General features: G+C 51.7%; 1 protein-coding gene across 3 annotated transcripts in view, besides 2 other annotated features; it reads right to left on the bottom strand.

The window, feature by feature from the left end:
• Positions 1–20,470, bottom strand: part of MARK4 (microtubule affinity regulating kinase 4) — a 54,014-nt gene that overhangs the window by 30,332 nt on the left and 3,212 nt on the right. For 2 of the 3 annotated variants that reach the window (NM_031417.4, NM_001199867.2), the window contains exons 2-8: positions 15,764–15,964; positions 11,787–11,840; positions 11,586–11,634; positions 10,204–10,269; positions 10,043–10,113; positions 8,672–8,728; positions 3,245–3,481 (exon numbers count right to left, since the gene is read on the bottom strand). In NM_031417.4, the coding sequence (NP_113605.2) occupies positions 3,245–3,481; positions 8,672–8,728; positions 10,043–10,113; positions 10,204–10,269; positions 11,586–11,634; positions 11,787–11,840; positions 15,764–15,964 (735 nt within the window). The remainder of the gene's footprint in view (positions 1–3,244; positions 3,482–8,671; positions 8,729–10,042; positions 10,114–10,203; positions 10,270–11,585; positions 11,635–11,786; positions 11,841–15,763; positions 15,965–20,470) is intronic. The other variant, XM_006723307.5, reaches the window with a different exon arrangement.
• Positions 9,365–9,949: an enhancer, noted in NCBI's record as "H3K27ac-H3K4me1 hESC enhancer chr19:45768262-45768846 (GRCh37/hg19 assembly coordinates)". NCBI's record gives its function as "activates a minimal SCP1, AML or CMV promoter by ChIP-STARR-seq in primed H9 embryonic stem cells {active_cell/tissue: H9 hESC(primed)}" and the evidence as "EXISTENCE:reporter gene assay evidence [ECO:0000049][PMID:30033119]".
• Positions 9,950–10,535: an enhancer, noted in NCBI's record as "H3K27ac-H3K4me1 hESC enhancer chr19:45767676-45768261 (GRCh37/hg19 assembly coordinates)". NCBI's record gives its function as "activates a minimal SCP1, AML or CMV promoter by ChIP-STARR-seq in primed H9 embryonic stem cells {active_cell/tissue: H9 hESC(primed)}" and the evidence as "EXISTENCE:reporter gene assay evidence [ECO:0000049][PMID:30033119]".

Here is a 20,470-nt window from a genome sequence, read left to right as displayed (position 1 = left end):
CAGGTGGGGAAACTGAGGTTCAGAAAAGGACATGTCCAAGGTCACTCAGAAAGGAAATGACAGAGCTAGAACCTGCCTCTTCTCAGCTGTGTGCCTCCTTTGCACAGCAAGGCCTGGGGTGCCTGGTGGGGACACCAGGATGGCAGAAAGTGACAAGGACCTGGGGCAGGTAAGACACTGGCCTGGCCCTTCAAAAAGGTCTCTTAGCTTCATGCTTGAGGCTCAGAAAAATTATTCTGTGACAACACCTCCCCACCCCAGACTTCAGCTATGGCCGGAGTGTCAGAGCCTGTTTTGTTTGTTTGTTTTGTTTTGTTTTTTTGAGACAGAGTCTTGCTCTGTCATCCAGGCTGGAGTGCAGTGGTGTGATCTCGGCTCACTACAACCTCTGCCTCCCTGGTTCAAGCAATTCTCCTGTCTCAGCCTCCCGAGTAGCAGGGATTACAGGCGCATGCCACCAGGCACAGCTAATTTTTGTGTTTTTGGTAGAGACGGGGTTTTACCATGTTGGCCAGGCTGGTCTTGAACTCCTGACCTCAGGTGAACTGCCCACCTCAGCCTCCCAAAGTGCTGAGATTACAGGCCTGAGCCACCGTGCCCGGCCAGAAGGCTGTCTTGAATGAGCACTTTGCATCCCTGATCTCAGCCAGTCCTTAAAAATCACTGCCACAAGGTTGGTATCATCTTTTTTGTTTGTTTGTTTTGAGATGGAGTCTCGCTCTGTTGCCCAGGCTGGAGTACAGTGGCGAGATCTCCGCTCACTCCAAGCTCCACCTCCCAGGTTCATGCCATTCTCCTGCCTCAGCCACCCGAGTGGCTGGGACTACAGGCGCCTGCCACCACGCCCGGCTAATTTTTTGTATTTTTAGAAGAGACGGGGTTTCAGTGTGTTAGCCAGGATGGTCTCGCTCTCCTGACCTCGTGATCCGCCCGCCTCGGCCTCCCAAAGTGCTGGGATTACAGGCGTGAGCCACCACGCCCGGCCCACAGGGTTGGTACCTTTATGATCTTCATTGAACAGCAGGTGAGACTGAGGCTTAGAGGGGTTGGCTATTTGGCCAAGGCCACTGTGAAGAAGGGACTCCCTCCTCTTCATCACTCAGGGTTCCGCTTTGATGGTCTGTCCTCTGCAAGTATTTCCCTGACTTTACAATTTCATATCACAGTACGTGCTCCTCACGGGCAACGCAGAGCAGGACAGAGCGTCCCAGCTGCAGAATTCCTGCCCCAATGCACCCCCGATTCCAATCGAGAGGAAACACCAGGCAACCCAAATTGAGGGACGTTCTGCAAAATTAACTGGCCTGAACTAATCGATAATGTCAATGTCATGAAAGACAAAAGAGAGGCTGAGAACTGTTCCGGATGAAAGGAGACACAAGAGATGGCGCAGCTAAATGCAACGCAGGGACCCGAGTGGATCCCCGACTGGGAAAAAAAAATAGCTGCCAAAGATATTCCTGGGATGATGGATGAAATCTGAGTATGGGCCATGGCGTAGAGGCCAGGATTATACCACTGCTGTATTTCCTGTATGTCACCGTCAACAGGAAAACGCCCCTGGTCTCAGGAGATAACCCGCTCTCGCCTTTAGGGATAAAAGGACACAGCGTCTGCAACTAACTGTCAAATGCGCCATCAATGCCGATGAGGGCAGCAAAGATCATGTGCAAATACAGACAGATAGAGCAAATGTGGACACAGGCCAGCGATTGTGAAGCTCCTGAAACATACCATGTGTTATTTGCTCTACTGTTGCAACTTTTCCGTAGATTGGCAATCGTTCAAAATAAAAAGTTCAAAGGGGGAAAAAAAAAAAGCAAGCAACAACTCAGCCCACACCTCCCATCCCCTTACAGTATTCCCCCCAGCATAGCACAGGCCAGCATCTGATATCATATCTAGTTTGCTTATTGTTTTGTTAGCTGCCTGGCCCCAGTAGGAATGTTAGTCTGGGAAGACAGGAACTGTTTTGTTTGAAGCGAAGTGCACAATTCGATGGCTTTTAGTATATGCACGGAGTTGCACAATCATTACTACATTCAATTTTATTTATTTATTTTTTGAGACAGAGTCTCGCTCTGTCGCCCAGGCTGGAGTGCAGTGGCACAATCTTGACTCACTGCAACCTCTGCCTCCCAGGTTCAAGCGATTCTCCTGCCTCAGCCTCTCCAGTAGCTGGGATTACAGGTGCCTGCCACCACACCCGGTTAATTTTTGTATTTTTAGTAAAGACAGGGTTTCACCATGTTGGCCAGGCTGGTCTCGAACTCCTGACCTCAGGTGATCTGCCTGCCTCGGCCTCCCAAAGTGCTGGGAATATAGGTGTGAGCCATCAGGCCGGCCACTACATTGAATTTTAGAACATTTTTCATCACCTCAAAAGAAATTCAGTACCCTTTAGCAATCAACCTCCAACTTGCTCCTCCCCCCCAGCCTCAGGCAACCAGTAATCCACTTTCTGTCTCTATGGATTTGCCTATTCTGGACATTTCACATTAATGGAATCATACATTCTGTGGCCTTATGTGACTGGCTTCTGTCACTTAGCACAATGTTTTCAAGGTTCACCCACAGCGTAGCATATACGAGGGCAGGGTTTGTTTTTTAATTTCTTTTTGGAGACAGGGTCTCCCTCTGTCACCCAGGTTGGAGTGCAGTGGCACGATCTCAGCTCACTGCAGTCTTGATCTCCCAGGTTCAAGTGATCCTCCCGCGTCAGCCTCCCAAGTAGCTGGGACTACAGGCGTGCGCCATTATGCCCGGTTAATTTTTGTATTTTTTGTAGAGACAGCGTCTCCCTATGTTGCCCAGGCTGGTCTTGAACTCCCAGGCTCAAGTGAGCCTCCCGCCTCCGCCTCCCAAAGTGCTGGGATTATAGGCATGAGCCACCGCACCCGGCCAAGCAGGAGTTTTTGCCTCTCTTGTTCTCGCCTTACATGCAAAGCCCAAAACAGAGCCTGACACAGAGAAGTGGGCCATAAATATTAGCTCAGTGAACGGATGAGTCAGGATTTGAACTCAAGCCTATCAGCTGCAAAGATCATGCCCTTAACCCCAGCATGGCACAGTCCATTCGGCTGGCCTCACTGCAGAGGGGACTTGAATCCTGCCCATCCCCCATCTTCCCATGAGAACTCAGGCCAGTCCCACCACTGAGGCCCTCTGCAGGGGAGGTGTGGGGGGGATAGGGGCCTGACTGTGGGGAGGGGCTGATGCCCCTGCACCCAGCCCCTCTCGGTACCTTGAGGTTGTGCCCGTCGAAGGGCAGGGAGCCGCTGACGAGGGTGTACAGGATGACTCCCAGGCTCCAGATGTCCACCTCCGGCCCGTCGTACTTCTTGCCCTGAAACAGCTCCGGGGCGGCATATGGGGGGCTCCCGCAGAACGTGTCCAGCTTCGATCCCAGCGTGAACTCGTTGCTGAAGCCAAAGTCAGCAATCTTGATGTTGGCCTCGGCATCCAGCAAGAGGTTCTCAGCCTGCAGGGAGAGAAGGAGAGGGCGGAAAGTGGGACTCAAGGCCAAAGCCTTTCATGGACGTGGGAGGCAGACAGGAGCACAGGCTCTAGGGCTGGCCCACAGGGATCAACTCTTGGGCCTGTCCTTTACTCTCTACCTGACCTTAGGTAGTAACTTTACCTCACTGAGCCTCAGTTTCCTCATCCATAGAATGGGGATAATCTTAGTTCCTATTTCATAGCGTAGTTTGAGAATTATGAGTTAATCCACATAGAAAACCTAGCACAGGCCAGACATAGTGGCTCACGCCTATAATACCAGCACTTTGGGAGGCCAAGGCAGGTGGATCACCTGAGGTCAGGAGTTCAAGATCGGCCTGGCCAACATGGTGAATCCCCATCTCTACTAAAAATACAAAAATTGGGCTGGGCACCGTGGCTCACGCCTGTAATCGCAGAACTTTGGGAAGCCGAGGTGGGCAGATCACCTGAGGTTGGGAGTTCAAGACCAGCCTGACCAACATGGAGAAACCCCGTCTCTACTAAAAATACAAAATTAGCTGGGCGTGGTGGCACATGCCTATAATCCCAGCTACTCGGGAGGCTGAGGCAGGAGAATTGCTTGAACCCAGGAGGTGGAGGTTGCGGTGAGCCGAGATCATGCCATTGCACTCCAGCCTGGGCAACAAGAGCGAAACTCCGTCTCAAAAAAACATAAAGATAAAAATTAGCCGGGCATGGTGGTGTGCGCCAGTAGTCCCAGGTACTCAGGAGGCTGAGGCACAAAAATTGCTTGAACCTGGGAGGCAGAGGTTGCACTGAGCTGAGACTGTGCCACTGCACTCCAGCCTGAGCAACAGAGTGAGAACTTGTCTCAAAAAAAAAGAAAAGCTAGAACAGTATTTCATACCCAGCGAGTACTATGTAATATCACTATTACCCCATGTGGTCTGCAGATCTAGGGGTCTTCAGGTAATCTCCTGCCCCTCTTGGAGCCTCAAGTTACCCAGCAGAAACAAAATAAGGCCTGATTGCTCAAGACCCAGGAAAACGAAAGCAATAATTTAATCCTGGTTGCATATCTACCATGCACTGGGCTCTGTGGACTATCAATTATAACAGTGTCTGTCTGCATAACGTGAAGGTGAAACGACAGACTCTCGGAGAATTCCAGCTGCAAATCCCAGCTCCACCACTCACTCGCTGTGTGAACTTTAGGTGGGTTACCAGACCTCTCTGTGCCTCAGTTTCCTTGTATGTAAACTGAGGGTGATCTCGACACCTGCCTCAAGCGTGGTTGTGGGTTTAAGCGTAAAGTGCTCACAGCGGCCCCTAGAGCACAGTCAGTGATCAGTAAACATTTCATGGCCGGGCGCGGTAGCTCACGCCTGTAATCTCAGCACTTTGGGAGGCCAAGGCAGGCAGATCTCCTGAGGTCAGGAGTTCGAGACTAGCTTGGGCAACATGGTAAAACCCTGTCTCTACTGAAAATACAAAAATTAGCCAGGCGTGGTGGCGGGTGCCTGTAATCCCAGCAACTTGGGAGGCTGAGGCAAGGAATCGCGTGAGCTGAAACTGCATCACTGTACTCCAGCCTGGGCAACACAGCGAGACTCCATCTCAAAAATAAGTGAATAAATAAATAAATAAACGTTTTGTATTGTTATAAAGTTTTGTCTATTTTTTTGCGGCATGCGGTCTTGCAATTGCCATTTCACAGGGGAGGAAACAGAAGCTGTGGGAGGCCACAACTCATGCCCATTGCAAGAAAGCAGCACAACTAGAATCTAAACAAGGCCACCCGTTTCCACAGTGCGCGGAGGAAGAAGCCTCCAGCCTTCTGACTACAAACAGAGGCACACCTCCACCTTTCAAAATGTCACCCGCGTCTGGCCCATCCCAACTGCGGTCCTTCCCTCGCCCAGGTCACCAGCATCCCTGGCTTCCTCCCAGGTCTCCCTATGTCTCCTGGTTTATTTCTGGACCACTCTTCCCCAGCTCCTGCCCCAATAAAGGCCCAAACCCTACAAAGACACACCACAGAGCTCCTCCCTAAACCTGAATGTAATAGCATCTGGCTTGCTCGGGGCTTACTTTTTCTTATTTTTTATTTTTGAGATGGAGTCTCACTCTGTCACCCAGGTTGGAGTGCAGTGGCACGATCTCGGCTCACTGTAACCTCTTCCTCCTGGGTTCAAGCGATTCTCCAGCCTCAGCCTCCCGAGTACCTGGGACTACAGGCGCCCACAACCACACCTGGCTATTTTTTTTATTTTTAGTAGAGACGAGGTCTTGCCATGTTGGCCAGGCTGGTCTCGAACTCCTGACCTCAGGTGATCCGCCCACCTCGGCCTCCCAAAAAGTGCTGAGATTACAGGTGTGAGCCGTCACGCCAGGCCAGGGATTACATTTCTTTTCCTGCCATTTGAGGCTCCGCAATCCAGCCCCAAAGTCACATGGGTTGGTCCCCTTGGTTGGTACCCCTGGTGTACTAATACGACCCCAAAACTCGTGTTAGCTGCTTTGGGGACCCTCCACCAGGGGACATACGACCTCCAGGTGAATCATGGAAGCCTCTAAGGTGCTGCCTCCAGGGCCGTGTGGAGGGACACCCTAGCCCAGTGGAAGGAAGTGAAGAGAGGGTTAGCACTTGAACCTCTATAGCAATTTGTTTTTTGTTTTCATTTTGTATTATTTTTCTTTTTTTCAGATGCACTTTCTGCTTTTGTATTTTTTGTTGTTGTTTTTAGAGACAGGGTTTTGCTCTGTTACCCAGGTTGGAATGCAGTGGCATGATCATGGCTCACTGCAGCCTCAACCTCCTGGGCTCAAGGGATCCTCCTGCCTCAGCCTCCTGAGTAGCTGAGACCACAGGCATACAAGCTAATTTTTTTTCTTTTTTTTTTTTTTGAGATGGAGTCTTGCTCTGTTGTCCAGGCTGGAGTGCACTGGCGCGATCTTGGCACACTGCAACCTCCACCTCCCAGGTTCAAGCAATTCTCATGTCTCAGCCTCTCAAGCAGCTGGAATTATAGGCACGCGCCACAACGACCACCTAATTTTTGTATTTTTAGTAGAGATGGAGTTTCACCGTGTTGCCCAGGTTGGTCTTGAACTCCTGGCCTCCAGTGATCTGCCTGCCTAGGCCTCCCAAAGTGCTGGGACAGGTGAGAGCCACCGCGTCCAGCCAAGCTAATTTTTTACAATTATTTTTTGTAGAGATCAGGTCTTGGGTGTGTTGCCCAGGCTGTTCTCGAACTTCTGGGCTCAAGCAATCCTCCCACCACAGCCTCCCAAAGTGCTGGGATTATAGGTGTGAGACTGCGCCTGGTCCTCCATAGGAATTTGACTGTGGAATTTCTTTAGAATCTAATAATAGCTTTTAAAATGGGGTTTGTGGCTGGGCACAGTGGCTCACACCTGTAATCCCAGCACTTTGGGAGGCCAAGGCGGGCAGATCACCCAAGGTCAGGAGATTGAGACCAGCCTGGCCAACGTGGTGAAACCCCGTCTCTACTAAAAATACAAAAATTAGCTGGGCATGGTGGTGCCCACCTGTAATCCCAGCAACTCAGAAGGCTGAGGCAGGAGAATCTCTTGAGCCCAGGAGTTCGAGACCAGCCTGGACAACAGAGTGAGATCCCTTGTCTACAAAAAACTCAAAAATTAGCCAGGCTTTGTGGCTCACACCTGTGGTTCCAGCTACCCAGGAGGCTGAGGTGAGAGAACTATTTGAGCCCAAGAGGTTGAGGCTACAGTGAGCTGTGATGGAAACATCACACTTCAGTATGGGCAACAAAAAAACAAAACAAAACAACAAAACCAACCCAGTCCTTCCTCACAGATAGTTCCAGAAGCACTTCCTTAAAGCACTTAGGATGCCGCCTAGCACACAGGTGCTCACAAAACGACAGTCAAGACAACCGGATTTGAGCCAACCAAACGGTCAGCCACCTGGTCTTGGAGCGCGAGGACTGAGACATACAGCGGAAGGTGTGGAATGCGGACCCTGGGGCCACAGGTACTCGAGGAGGCTGCCTGGCTCAGCTCCTACAGGTAGCTGGGCTGGAGCCCCGTTGAGTCCCTTCCTGCCTGGTACTGGCCAAGGTGGCTTTTCTCTCAAAGCCCCTTCTCAGACTGGACACGGTGGCTCACATCTGTAATCCCAGCACTCTAGGAGACCGAGGCAGGTGGATCACCTGAGGTCATGAGTTCAAGACCAAGCCTGGCCAACATGGTGAAACTCCGTCTCTACTAAAAATACAAAAATAGCTGGGCATGGTGACAGGTGCCTGTGACCTCAGCTACTCGGGAGGCTGAGGCAGGAGAATCGCCTGAACCCGGGAGGCGGAGGTTGCAGCGAGCTGAGATGGGGCCACTACACTCCAGCCTGGGCAACAGTGTGAAACTCCATGTCAAAAATAAAAATAAAAACGAAGCCTTCTTAAGTTCTCAGATTCCCGGCCAGGTGCCGTGGCTCATGCCTGTAATCCCAGCACTTTGGGAGGCTGAGGCGGGCGGATCACAAGGTCAGGAGATCGAGACCATCCTGGCTAACACGGTGAAACCCCGTCTCTACTAAAAATATAAAAAATTAGCCGGGCTTGGTGGCGGGCGCCTGTAGTCCCAGCTACTTGGGAGGCTGAGGCAGGAGAATGGTGTGAACCCAGGAGGCGGAGCTTGCAGTGAGCGGAGATCGCGCCACTTCACTCCAGCCAGGGCGACAGAGTGAGACTCTGTCTCAAAAAAAAAAAAAAAAAAAAGTTCTCAGATTCCTGTGACTCTGGGACCCTGTGGGCAGAGTGACTCTGGGGCTCTGCAACCTAAATCCTCAAGGAGTCCTGAATGTCCTAAGGTCGGAGAATGCCAAGGTCCCAAAGGCTCTGAGAGCGACAAACCCCTTATCATGTCCCAGCGTCCTTATCCAACAGCCCTGTAGCATCCAGGGCCATTTTGGGACACTTTGTTTCTCCCTGCTTTGTTCACTCCTCCTGTCCCCTCCCCCCCATCCGCTCCCCCATCTGCTGGCCTTGTTTCTGCCACAAAAGCTTGGGAAAGGGTCAAGGGGGTGCTGGGTGTGGAGGGAAGAGCAGGAGGAGAAAAGGGCTGGAGGAATTTGCTGGAGGCCACGGAAACCATGGAGGGGTGGGGGCAGGGAGAAGTCTGTGGGCTGAGCCGTGGTCCCTGAGATCACAGCGGGTCGGGGGCTTACCTTCAGGTCCCTGTGTACAATATTTTTCTGGTGACAATAGTGCACAGCCGAAACAATCTGGGAGGGAAGGGGAAGGTTGGTTATTTGTGGCTCCCAAAACCCTCAGCCTCCCTCAGTGGACTGTGAAACCACTCACAGCTGGGCCCCAGGCCTCCCCAAGGCACAGCCTGAGATCTGGGGCCTCACACCCTGATTCAGTCACAGCAAGAGGTGCCCGTGGAACCTGGGCAGACACACGTCTCCCCCAGGACACCCCCATGCCCAGGGATGTCGGAACCAAGGCATGGGGACCAGCCTCTCTTGACCTTCACATCTGGAAACTCCCATGGGGATATCCCATACCTGTAGATAGACAGGCCGCCCCAACTCACCAGGGCTTATGGCCCTTGAGTTCAGGACAGCAGCGTCAAGGCAGAAACACCCTCACACCTGCACATCTTCCTAGCCGACATGCCCGGCACCCTCACACCTGCACATCTGCTTACCCCACATGCCCCGGCACCCTCACACCTGCATCTCCTCTTACCCCACACACCTGGCACCCTCACACACGCACATCTTCTTACCCCTCATGCCCCAGCACCCTCACACCCACAACTCCTCTTACCCCACACCTGGGCACCTTCATACCTGCATCTCCTCTTACCCCACACCTGGGCACCCTCACACCTGCACATATTCTTACCCCACACCTGGGCACCCTTATACCTGCACTTCTTCTTATCCCACATACCTGGGCACCCTCACACCTGCACGTCCTCTTACTCCACACCTGGCCCCCCCCACACTCTTACACACCTGGGTGTCCTCACTACCACACACCTGGAAACCCATACATCTGGGCACTCGCACACCCGGGCACCCACATACCGGCATGCCCTAGTACCTACAAGCTTACACAACCACCCCTCAGCCCTCTCTTGCCCATCTACCTGGGGTGCCCTACACTCTCTTCCCCACACACCTACATACCTACATACCTGGGCACCCACATAGCTACTGCCCACACATCTTTTGAATCACACTCCGGCACACTCACACCTGGCACCCTGGCACCTTCGTGCCCCCATCACCCACACACCTACGCGCTGGGCACACCCACATGCCCTACACATGCAACACCTGCCCACCGGGGCGCCTTCATGCCCAAACATCCTCTCACCCACCCAACGGGGCACCTGCAAACCTACATCCGGATGCCCTCACATCTGGGCAACTATATGCCCAGCACACCCAGCTCTGCACCTTCACCCCTGCCCAGACTTAAGCCCCGCCCCCAGGTCGCTGGACAGCCCAGACCATGCCCAGCTCTCAGACGCCCTCCCAGGGACCCAGGCACCCAGTCAGCCCCACCCTCAGCCCTGCCCCAACCTGTCGGAACTTGGCTCGAGCTTCCTTCTCCTTCATGCGGCCATGCGACACGAGGTAGTCAAACACTTCTCCTGCAGGGCAGAGGCCGAGCGGGGTCAGGGTCAGGTGCAGCGGCAGGGGGAGGTGGCACAGGGGCAGGGCGGAGAGGGTGGGCGGCTCACCAGCACTTGCGTACTCCATCACCAGGTACAGCGTCTTCTCAGTCTCAATCACCTCAAAGAGCTTCACTATAATGGTTGGGAACAGTGTAGGGCATTAGGGAGAAAGGGCCCCTCCTAACCTGTCCTCAGTAACTATGCAAATGTGCCAACCATAACACCCCCACCCCAACTCAACACTCAATGGCTCCCTACTGACAGCAAGATTTTCCAAACTCCTCAGCCCCCTCTACCACCCTTTCCACTTTCGTTTTTTTTTTTTGAGATGGAGTTTTGCTCTTGTTGCCCAGGCTGGAGTGCAATGGCGCGATCTCTGCTCACCCTCCCAGGTTCAAGCGATTCTCCTGCCTCAGCCTCCCGAGTAGCTGGGATTACAAGCATGCGCCACCATATCCGGCTAATTTTGTATTTTTAATAGATACGGGGTTTCTCCATGTTGGTCATGCTGATCTCCAACTCCCAACCTCAGGTCATCCACCCGCCTCGGCCTCCCAAAGTGCTGGGATTACAGACGTGAGCCACCGCGCCCAGCCACCCTTTCCACTTTCTCTCTCACAAGAATGTCAGCTCCATGAGGCCAGAGATTTGTGTCTTGTTGTCTTCCCTGTTGTGTCCCCAGGGTCTGGCACATAGCGGCCACTCAATCAATAATTACTGAGTAAATGAATGAATGAATGAACAAATGCTGCAGCCACATCCAGGCGGAGCTAAACTCCGCTTCTCTCACTAAAGACCCCTCACTCCCGCCTCTGCCCAATGATAATGACAGTGAGGATGTTGATGCTGGTGGAAATAACTGGACCAAGTCCCATAGCTCAGCCCAAACTAAGCATTTTGGATGCATCATCTTTGTCAATCCTCACAATGACCTGGTAATAGGCCCTCTTATCACCCCTACTCCAGAAGAGAAAATAGAGGCTCAAAGAGGTTAAGTGACTTGCCCAAGGTCACACAGCAGTGATGCAACTATGAGAAACCAGGTCTCTAACTTTTTCTTTTTTTTTTTTTTTTGAGATGAAGTCTCGCTTTATTGCCCAGGCTGGGGTGCAGTGGTGCGATCTCAGCTCACTGCAACCTCTGGCTCCTGGGCTCAAGCAATTCTCCTGCCTCAGCCTCCCGAGTAGCTGGGATTACAGGCGCCCGCCACCATGCCCTGCTAATTTTTGTATTTTCAGTAGAGACAGAGTTTCACCATGTTGGTCAGACTGGTGTCGAACTCCTGACCTCAAGTGATCCACCCGCCTCGGCCTCCCTAAGTGCTGGGATTACAGGAGTGAGCCACTGCGCCTGGTGGGTCTCCAACTATTCTAACCACTGCCACCACCCCCAACTCCTTTGCAAGTGTTCCAGTTGGTGGCCTGCCCCTGCTCCCATTCCCTCCTCACCGATGTTGGGGTGGTTTAGGCCCTTCATGATGCGGACTTCTCGGAACAGCTGGGCGTGGCCAGAAAGGAAGACAGAGGAGAGTGAGGGTGGGTGGCTTGGGGGATCCTTTCCCCAGCCGGGCCCCCGCAGGAAGGGTCAGGTGGGTCACCCGGCTGTGCCGGAAGCCTGGCTCCTGCTCTCCCCCGTCTCCCCAGCCTCACCTTCTGCAGGCTGCTGGGATTCAGCTGGGTTTTGTCGATAATCTTGATGGCAACCTAGAGGGGGAGGAAAGGAGGAGGGACGGTCAAGGTGCCACAAGCCCCACTGGATATGGTGGCTCAGGCCTGTAATCCCAGCATTTTGGGAAGACCAAGGCGGGAGGATCACTTGAGGCCAGGAGTTCGAGACCAGCCTGGTCAACACGACGAAACCCTGTCTTTACTAAAAATACAAAAATTAGCCAGGTGTGGTAGCAGGCACCTGTAATCCCAGCTACTCTGGAGGCTGAGTTGGAAGAATCGCTTGAGCCTGGGAGGCAGAGGTTGCAGTGAGCCAAGATGACGTCACTGCACTCCAGCTGGCCCAGCTCAGATCACCCTGGGATATCCTTCCTTTGCCCCCTCTCCCAGAAGAGCCCTCACTCTGGGCCATACCCTGTGGATGGGGAACTCAGGGCCTCAGGGCCTTTGCACAAGCTGTCCTCACTGTCTCCACTGCCACCCTCACTTCTGCAGAGAAATATCCTTATTCCACAGCAGGGCCTGGCTGACGCTGCTCCAGAGCTGCCTGAGTGGATGTGGGCATGGACGAGACCTTGAGGGGATCCCTTTGTGAGGGCAATGAAGATCACTGGCCCATCACATCTTTGTTTTGAACAAATGAACAGTGGAATAAATAACAACTGGTTAACATGCACTAAGCCCTCACTACAAGGACTATGCGCTTTACAAACGAGAACTCTTAATCTTCACAACAACCTGTGAGATAAGTGCTAGGATTATCCCTCCCATTCTCCGCACCCACCCCACCCCCCCGCCCCCTTTTCTTTTGGAGGCAGAGTCTCGCTGTGTCTCCCAGGCTAGAGTACAGTGGTGTTACAGTGGTGTGATCATAGCTCACTGCAACCTTGACCTCCTGGGCTCAAGTGATCCTCCCACCTCAGCCTCCCAAGTAGCTGGGACCACAGGCACATGCCACCAACATTTGGCTAACAGGATTATCATCATTTTACCAACAGGGAAACTGAGGCACAGAGCTGTTTAGTCATTTGGCCAAAGTTACATGGCTAGTAAATTGTAGTAAGTTGTGGCCCAGATTTGAACTTATGCAGCCTGATGGAATCTACCTCTTAAACACAACTTTTAAAACAGCTTTGAGATACATCATGGGGAGGAAATCAGAATGTCATTGAACTCTCCTTATACTTCTTTTGCAGTGAAACTTTTTTTTTTTTTGAGACAGAGTTTCCCTCTTGTTGCTCAGGCTGGAGTGCAATGGCGCAATCTTGGCTCACCGCGACCTCCACCTCTCAGGTTCAAGGGATTCTCCTGCCTCAGCCTCCCGAATATCTGGGATTACAGGCATGCGTCACCATGCCTGGCTAATTTTGTATTTTTAGTAGAGACGGGGTTTCTCCATGTTGGCCAAGCTGGTCTTGAACGCCCAACATCAGGTGATCCGCCTGCCTGAGCCTCCCAAGGTGCTGGGATTACAGGCATGAGCCACCGCACCCAGTCTGCAGTAAAACTTTTATTTTATTTTTAAAACAGAGATGGGGCCAGGTCCCTCTCAGAAACCCCTGGAACCAGATCCACATATAGGGAACCATGTGTTCTTCATGGAAGAGAGAGCCCCTTAGCTTTCCTCATATTCTCACGAATGTGTTTTTAAAAATTTTATCAAACACTTTTTATGCCAGTATTGAGACGATCATATGGTTTCTCTTCTTTAATCTGAGAATGTGGTGAAGTACATGAATAAATTGTCAAAGGGAAAAGAACTTTGCATTCCTGAGATAAAGCCAGTTTCGTCATCACACAGCTTTCTTTAATTGATTTGCCAGGTTCTGTTTGTTAATATTTTGTATAAGATTTTTATACCTATGTTCACCAGATTGGCCTGTAATTTTGTTTCTTGTCTGGTTTTGCTCTTAAGGACAAACTAGCGCGTAAAAATCAGTCAGGCAGTGGCAGTTCTTTCTTTAGTCTCTGGAAGAACTGGCATAAAATGTGAACATCTGGTAGGATTTGCCTGTAAGACCATCGGGGCCCGGTGTCTTTTGCGTGTATGGTGTAGACAGCGTGAGGGCAGGGGAGAGTCCATCCAAGGCAGGATAATTCATTCCAATCATTTCTCTGAAGTTGAAGGAGGGGTGGGGAAATCATGAAATCACCCACCATTCCTTTTCCTCTAAGTGAGTTAGAGACCTCATATCTAGGCTGCAAAGCCTGTGTGGGCCCTTTTTGCAATAATGTCACCATACTCAGCACAGATGCCTGCTCTGGAAGAGGTGGTGGGGAGAGTGAGGCTGTGTGTAACTGAGAATACAACATAAATAAACCTGCTGTGTTCTCCAGATCACAGGAAGATTTCAAGGAACCAAAGTCCACCCTTAAAACAGAGAGGCAGCTCAGGTTTATTTATTTTTTATTTTTAATTTATTTACTATTTATTTATTTATTTATTTATTTTTTGAGATGGTCTTGCTCTGTCACCCAGGCTGGAGTGCAGTGGCACAATCTCGGCTCACTGCGGCCTTCGCCTCCTGGGTTCCAGTGATTCTCCTGCCTCAGCCTTCCAGGTAGCTGGGCTTACAGGCACGCACCACCACACCCAGCTAATTTTTGTATTTTTTTTTCAGTAAAGATGGGGTTTTGCCATGTTGGCCAGGCTGGTCTCGAACTCCTGACCTCAGGTGATCCACCTGCCTCGGCCTCCCAAAGCGCTGTGTTTGTTGGTATGAGCCACTGCACTCGGCCAATTTTTTTTTTTTTTTTTTGAGACAAAGTCTCGGTCTTGTTGCCCAGGCGGAATACAGTGGCACCATCTTGGCTCATTGCAACCTCTGCCTCCTGGGCTCAAGCAATTCTCCTGCCTCAGCCTCCCAAGTAGCTGAAATTACAGGTGCCTGCTATCACACCAAGCTAATCTTTATATTTTTAGTAGAGACGGGGTTTTACCATGTTGGCCAGGCTGGTCTTGAACTCCTGACCTCAGGTGATCCACTTGCCTTGGCCTCCCAAAGTGCTGGGACTATAGGAGTGAGCCACCGCGCACGGCCTTTTAATTTTTTTATTTTTTTGAGACAGAGTCTCACTCTGTCACCCAGGCTGGAGTGCAGTGGCATGATCTCGGCTCACTGAAACCTCCGCCTCCTGGGTTCAAGCGATTCTCCTGGCTCAGCCTACTGAGCAGCTGAGATTATAGGCATGTGCCACCACGCCCAGCTAATTTTTGTATTTTTAATAGAGACAGGGTTTCATCATGTTGGTCAGGCTGGTCTCGAACTCCTGACCTCAAGCAATCCACCTGCCTCAGCTTCCCAAAGTACTGGGATTACAGGCGTAAGCCACCATGCCCAGCCCTCTTTTATTTTATTTTATTTTTATTTTTTGAGATAGGGTCTCACTCTGTTACCCAGGCTGGAGTGCAGTGGTGAGGTCACACCTCACCGCAGCCTCAAACTCCTGAGCTCAAGCGATCCTCCCGCCTCAGCCTCCCAAGTAGCTGGGACCACAGGCACACACCACCGCACCCAGCTAATTTTTAAAAAATTTTACTTATTTTTTAGTGGAGACAAAGTGTTGCTATGTTGCCCAGGCTGGTCTCAAACTCCTGAGCTCAAGGAATCCTCCTGCCTTGGCCTTTCAAAGTGCTGGGATTACACGTGTGAGCCAATGCATCCGGCCACAGCTCAGGTTTATCTACAAAAGCCACATGCATCCTTAGCAACGCACACATTGGACTGCCTGTGATCTGAGATTTCCCGGCAATTTCAGGGATACATGAAATTAGTTCTCTTTTCCCATGGGGGTGGTTCTGGGAACATCAGAGATATTGTGACCTGTCCCATAGAGAGTCGGGAACTTACCTGAGGCCACAAAGCAAACCCAGGGCCAATCCTGACCTCTATCAACATACACCGAAGACCTGGTCCCACAGGGACCTGCCCCGAGCCCCACCCTGTGCCCATACTCACCTCCCGACCAGTGAGGATGTGCCGAGCCAGCTTGACTTTGGCAAAGTTGCCCTTCCCAATGGTCCTCAGCAGGCGGTAGTTGCCCACGTGGGGCTGCTCCTCGGGACAGGAGGCGATGGAGTTCCGGCAACGGGCACCCAGTGAGCGGCTGGACCAGGACGGGCCTTTGTCCGAGGAGCGGCCACTGCCCAAGGTGCCATGCTGGGCGGGGGAGATGGAGCATGAGCTATCCAATCCCACCTTCCGTGGAACCCGTGGGCTAGTGCACTTAACTTGAGGCCTGGCTACCGGCCCCTCCGTGGCCCTTTTCAAACTCAGGCCCCAGAGAGCCAAGCATCCTTCATCTTTCTCTACAAAAAGACGCCTCCAGGAACAAAAGCCCCCATGTCCTCCAAATCTGCAACATTCAGGGCCCCAGGCATCACACCCCTTCTTCAACCCTCACTGCAGTCTGACTACCCCCAACCTCCTTGTCTTTTTTTTTTTCCTTCGGATGGAGTCTTCCTCTGTCACCCAGGCTGGAGTGCAGTGGCACGATCTCAGCTCACTGCAACCTCTGCCTCCCGGGTTCAAGCCATTTTCCTGCCTCAGCCTCCCGAGCAGCTGGGATTACAGGCGTGCACCATCATGCCTGGCTAATTTCTGTATTTTTAGTAGAGACGGGGTTTCACCATGTTGACTAAGCTGGTCTCAAACCCCTGACTCAGGTGATCCACCTGCCTCGGCTGTACGGATTACAGATGTGAGCCACCGCATCCAGCCCCAACCTCCTTTTCTAATTACACACATACCTCAGAGATATCGCAAGTTTGGTTCCAGACCACCGCAATAAAGCAAATACTGCAAAAAAGCAATGCACATGAATCTTTTGGATTCCCAGTGCATATAAAAATTATGGGCCAGGTGGCCAGGTGCAGTGGCTCAGGCCTGTAATCCCAGCACTTTGGGAGGCTGAGGTGGGTGGATCATGAGGTCAGGAGTTCGAGACCAGCCTGGCCAATATGGTGAAAACCCCATCTCTACTAAAAAAATACAAAAATTAGCCAGGCATTGGCACACGCCTGTAATCCCAGCTACTCTGGAGGCTGAGGCAGGAGAATCACTTGAACCTGGGAGGCAGAGGTTGTAGTGAGCCGAGATCGCTCTACTGCACTCTAGCCAGAGTGATAGAGTGAGACTTGGTCTAAAAAAAAAAAAAAAAGGCCAGGCATGGTGGCTCACACCTGTAATTCCAGCACTTTGGGAGGCCGAGGCGGGCAGATCACGAGGTCAGGAGATTGAGACCATCCTGGCTAACAAGGTGAAACCCCATCTCTACTAAAAATACAAAAAATTAGCCAGGCGTGGCAGTATGCGCCTGTAGTCCCAGCTACTTGGGAGGCTGAGGCAGGAGAATGGCATGAACCCAGGAGGTGGAGCTTGCAGTGAGCCGAGATCGCGCCGCTGCACTCCAGCCTGGGTGACAGAGCGAGACTCTGTCTCAAAAAAAAAAAAAAAAAATATTATGGGCCAGGCGAGGTGGCTCACGCCTGTAATCCCAGCACTTTGGGAGGCCAAGGCAGGTGGATCACCTGAGGTCAGAGTGTGAAACTTGCCTGGCCAACACGGGGAAACCCCGTCTCTACTAAAAATACAAAAATTAGCCGGACATGGTGACGCGCACCTGTAATCCCAGCTACTCAGGAGGCTGAGGCAGGAGAATCACTTGAACCAGGGAGGCAGAGGTTGCAGTGAGCTGAGATCGCGCCACTGCACTACAGTCTGGGTGACAGAGTGGGACTCCATCTCAAAAAAAAAAAAAAAAAAGAGAAAGAAAAATTGTGTTTACATCATACTGCAGTCTACTGAGTGTGCAATAATAGCATTACAGCTATAAAAACAATGTACATACTTTAATTTTATAATACTTTCTTGTTAAAAGATGCTAACAATCATCTGAACCTTCAGTGAATCACAATAAAACAAAATCATTGACAAGGCGGGAGGATCGCTTGAAGCCAGGGAGTTTGAGACCAGCCTGGGCAATGAAGCGAGACACCCATCTCTAGAAAAACTTAAAAAAAAAAAATTAGCTAGGCATGGTGGCATATGCCTATAGTCCCAGCTACTCAGGGGGCTGAGATGGGAAGATCGCTTGAGCCCCAGGAGGTTAAGGCTGCAGTGAGCTATGATCATGCCACTGCACTCCAGCCTGGGCAACAGAGCAAGACCCTGTCTCTAAAAAAAAAAGAGGAAAAACATCACTGATATCAGATCACCATAACAGCTATTATAATAATGATGAAAAAGTTTGAAATACTGTGTGAATTACCAAAATGTGACAGAGACACAAATTGTGCACAGGCTGTTGGAAAAATGGAGCCTACAGGCTTGCTCAACACAGGGTCGTCAGAAACCTTCAATTTGTAGAAAACACTGTATCTGTGAAGCTCAATAAGGCAAAGTGCGAAAAAGCAGGATATGCCTGTCCTGGAGCCTGGATCAACTCTACAATATTTTGCCCTAAATGAGGCTGCCCTCAACCCCAATCAACGCTGACCTCAATCTGGACTCGAGGCTCCTCCTCCACCACCACTGGTCCTGACTTGCTATTTTACCCATCAACTGTCCCCTCTCCAGCCCCCAAATTCTACTTCAAACCCAAATGTCAACATTTGATTCCCAGTGGAATGCCCCTAACATTTGATTCCAATCACTGTTACCCCAGATTGGACTCCAAACATTGTAACCAAGTCTTATTTTTTTTCTTTTTGACACAGAGTTTCACTCTTGTTGCCCAAGCTGGAGTGCAGTGGCCCAGTCTGGCTCACTGCAACCTCTGCCTCCTGGGTTCAAGCGATTCTCCTGCCTCAGCTTTCCCGAGTAGCTGGGATTACAGGCATGTGCCACCACACCTGGTTAATTTTGTATTTTTAGTAGAGACGAGGTTTCATCATGTTGGCCAGGTTGGTCTTGAACTCCTGACCTCAGGTGATCCACCCACCTCGGCCTCCCAAAGTGCTGGCATTACAGGCCTGAGCCACCACCCCCTGCAGGGTAACCAAGTCTTTCACTGGCCCTGAGACCTGGTTGAATCCCTGTTATCCTCCTTCCATGGGAAACACTGTTGCTTCTGCCACCCCCTGAAACACCCAGGGCTTGAGAAGCGCCCTGACTTGCTGTCTCCCACACCATGGCTTCTCTCCTCCTGATGTTCTGTTCCTACTGTCCTGTCCCTCCCTGGCCTCTCTCCCCCGCAGGTCACCTGCCTGCTCTGAGCTGCCCTGGCCTGATTGGAAGCCCCAGGGACTGTCTCCCTTTCAGGGCTGGGGCTCAGGGTGCCTGAGGCCTCCCGCCAAGGCAGTTCTGCCTGTGCCCTTCCGGCTGGGAGTGGGAAGCAGGAGGACAACAGGAGGGGAGGAAGAAAGGCCAAGAGGCTGATGGGCTGGGGGCCCAAGTCTCTGAGAAAGACACTGCCGGGCCACTTGATAGCAACGACAACTAACGTTTAATTAATGCTGGTCATTGATGCAATATGAGGCCATTACCACACTATTATCTCCATTTTACAGGTGGGGAAAGTGAGACCCGGACCCACGATCTGAACCCAAACAGTTTCCACCAGTATTTTTTTTTTTTTTTTTTTTTTTTGGCAGAGTTTCACTCTTGTTGCCCAGGCTGGAGTGCAATGGCACGATCTCAACTCACTGCAACCTCCACCTCCTGGGTTCAAGCAATTCTCCTGCCTCAGCCTCCCGAGTGGCTGGGATTACAGACGCCCGCCACCACAACCGTCTAATTTTTGTATTTTTAGTAAAGAGGGGGTTTCACCATGTTGGCCAGGCTGGTCTTGAACTCCTGACCTCAGGTGATCTGCCCACCTCGGCCTCCCAAAGTGCTGGGATTACAGGCATGAGCCACCGTGCCCGATAGTTTCCACCAGACTTGATGCTCTTCTCTGTCACAATACCACACTGCCTCTCACACCTGAACCTTTTTTTTTTTTTTGAGACAGGGCCTTGCTCTGTTACCCAGGCTGAAGTGCAGTGGTGTAATCAAGGCTCACTGGAGCCTCAACTGCCTGGGTTCAAGCAAATCCTCCCATCTCAGGCTCCTGAGTAGCTGGGACCACAGGAGTGCACCACCACACACAGCTGATTTTTAAATTTTTTTGTAGAGATGGAGTCTTGCTATGTTGTCCGGGCTAGTCTTCAGCTCCCAGGCTCAAGCCATCCTCCTGCCTGGGTCTCCCAAAGTTCTGGGATTATAGGTGTGAGCTACCACGCTGGGTCATGAACCATTTCTACAAAGCAGCTCATGCTATGGACCAAGTCCTGTGTAAACAGGTAACTCGCCTACACTTAATTCCTGCAGTAGCCCAGGGAATGACTCCATGTTCCAGCAGAGAAACTGAGCCTTGGAGAGGGAAGGTGCCATGTGAAGGTCACACAGTCCATTCACAGGGGCAGAAAGACAACCTCCCCACAGCTGGGCAGTTCCAACCACCACGGCCAGGGCTCTAACCACGCGTCCGCCACTGCCTGCCGTGCCCTCACCCTGGCCTCCAATGTGGGTCCAATTATGATCTGCAGTCTTCAGACGGGGACACCCAGGCTCAGGCAGGGGGAGTCCCTCCCCCAAGGTCACAGGGCAGATGGAGCAGAGTGCTGGGATGCGAACCCCGGCCTGCTGATTCCTCCTGAGTGCTGAGCCAGGCTTCCCCACAGG

The sequence above is a fragment of the Homo sapiens genome, chromosome 19, assembly GCF_000001405.40.
Source record: "Homo sapiens chromosome 19, GRCh38.p14 Primary Assembly".
In the NCBI taxonomy this organism is placed as follows: Eukaryota; Metazoa; Chordata; class Mammalia; order Primates; family Hominidae; genus Homo; species Homo sapiens.
Note: the sequence above shows the minus strand (reverse complement) of the source record. Positions and strands in the feature narration are given on the sequence as shown.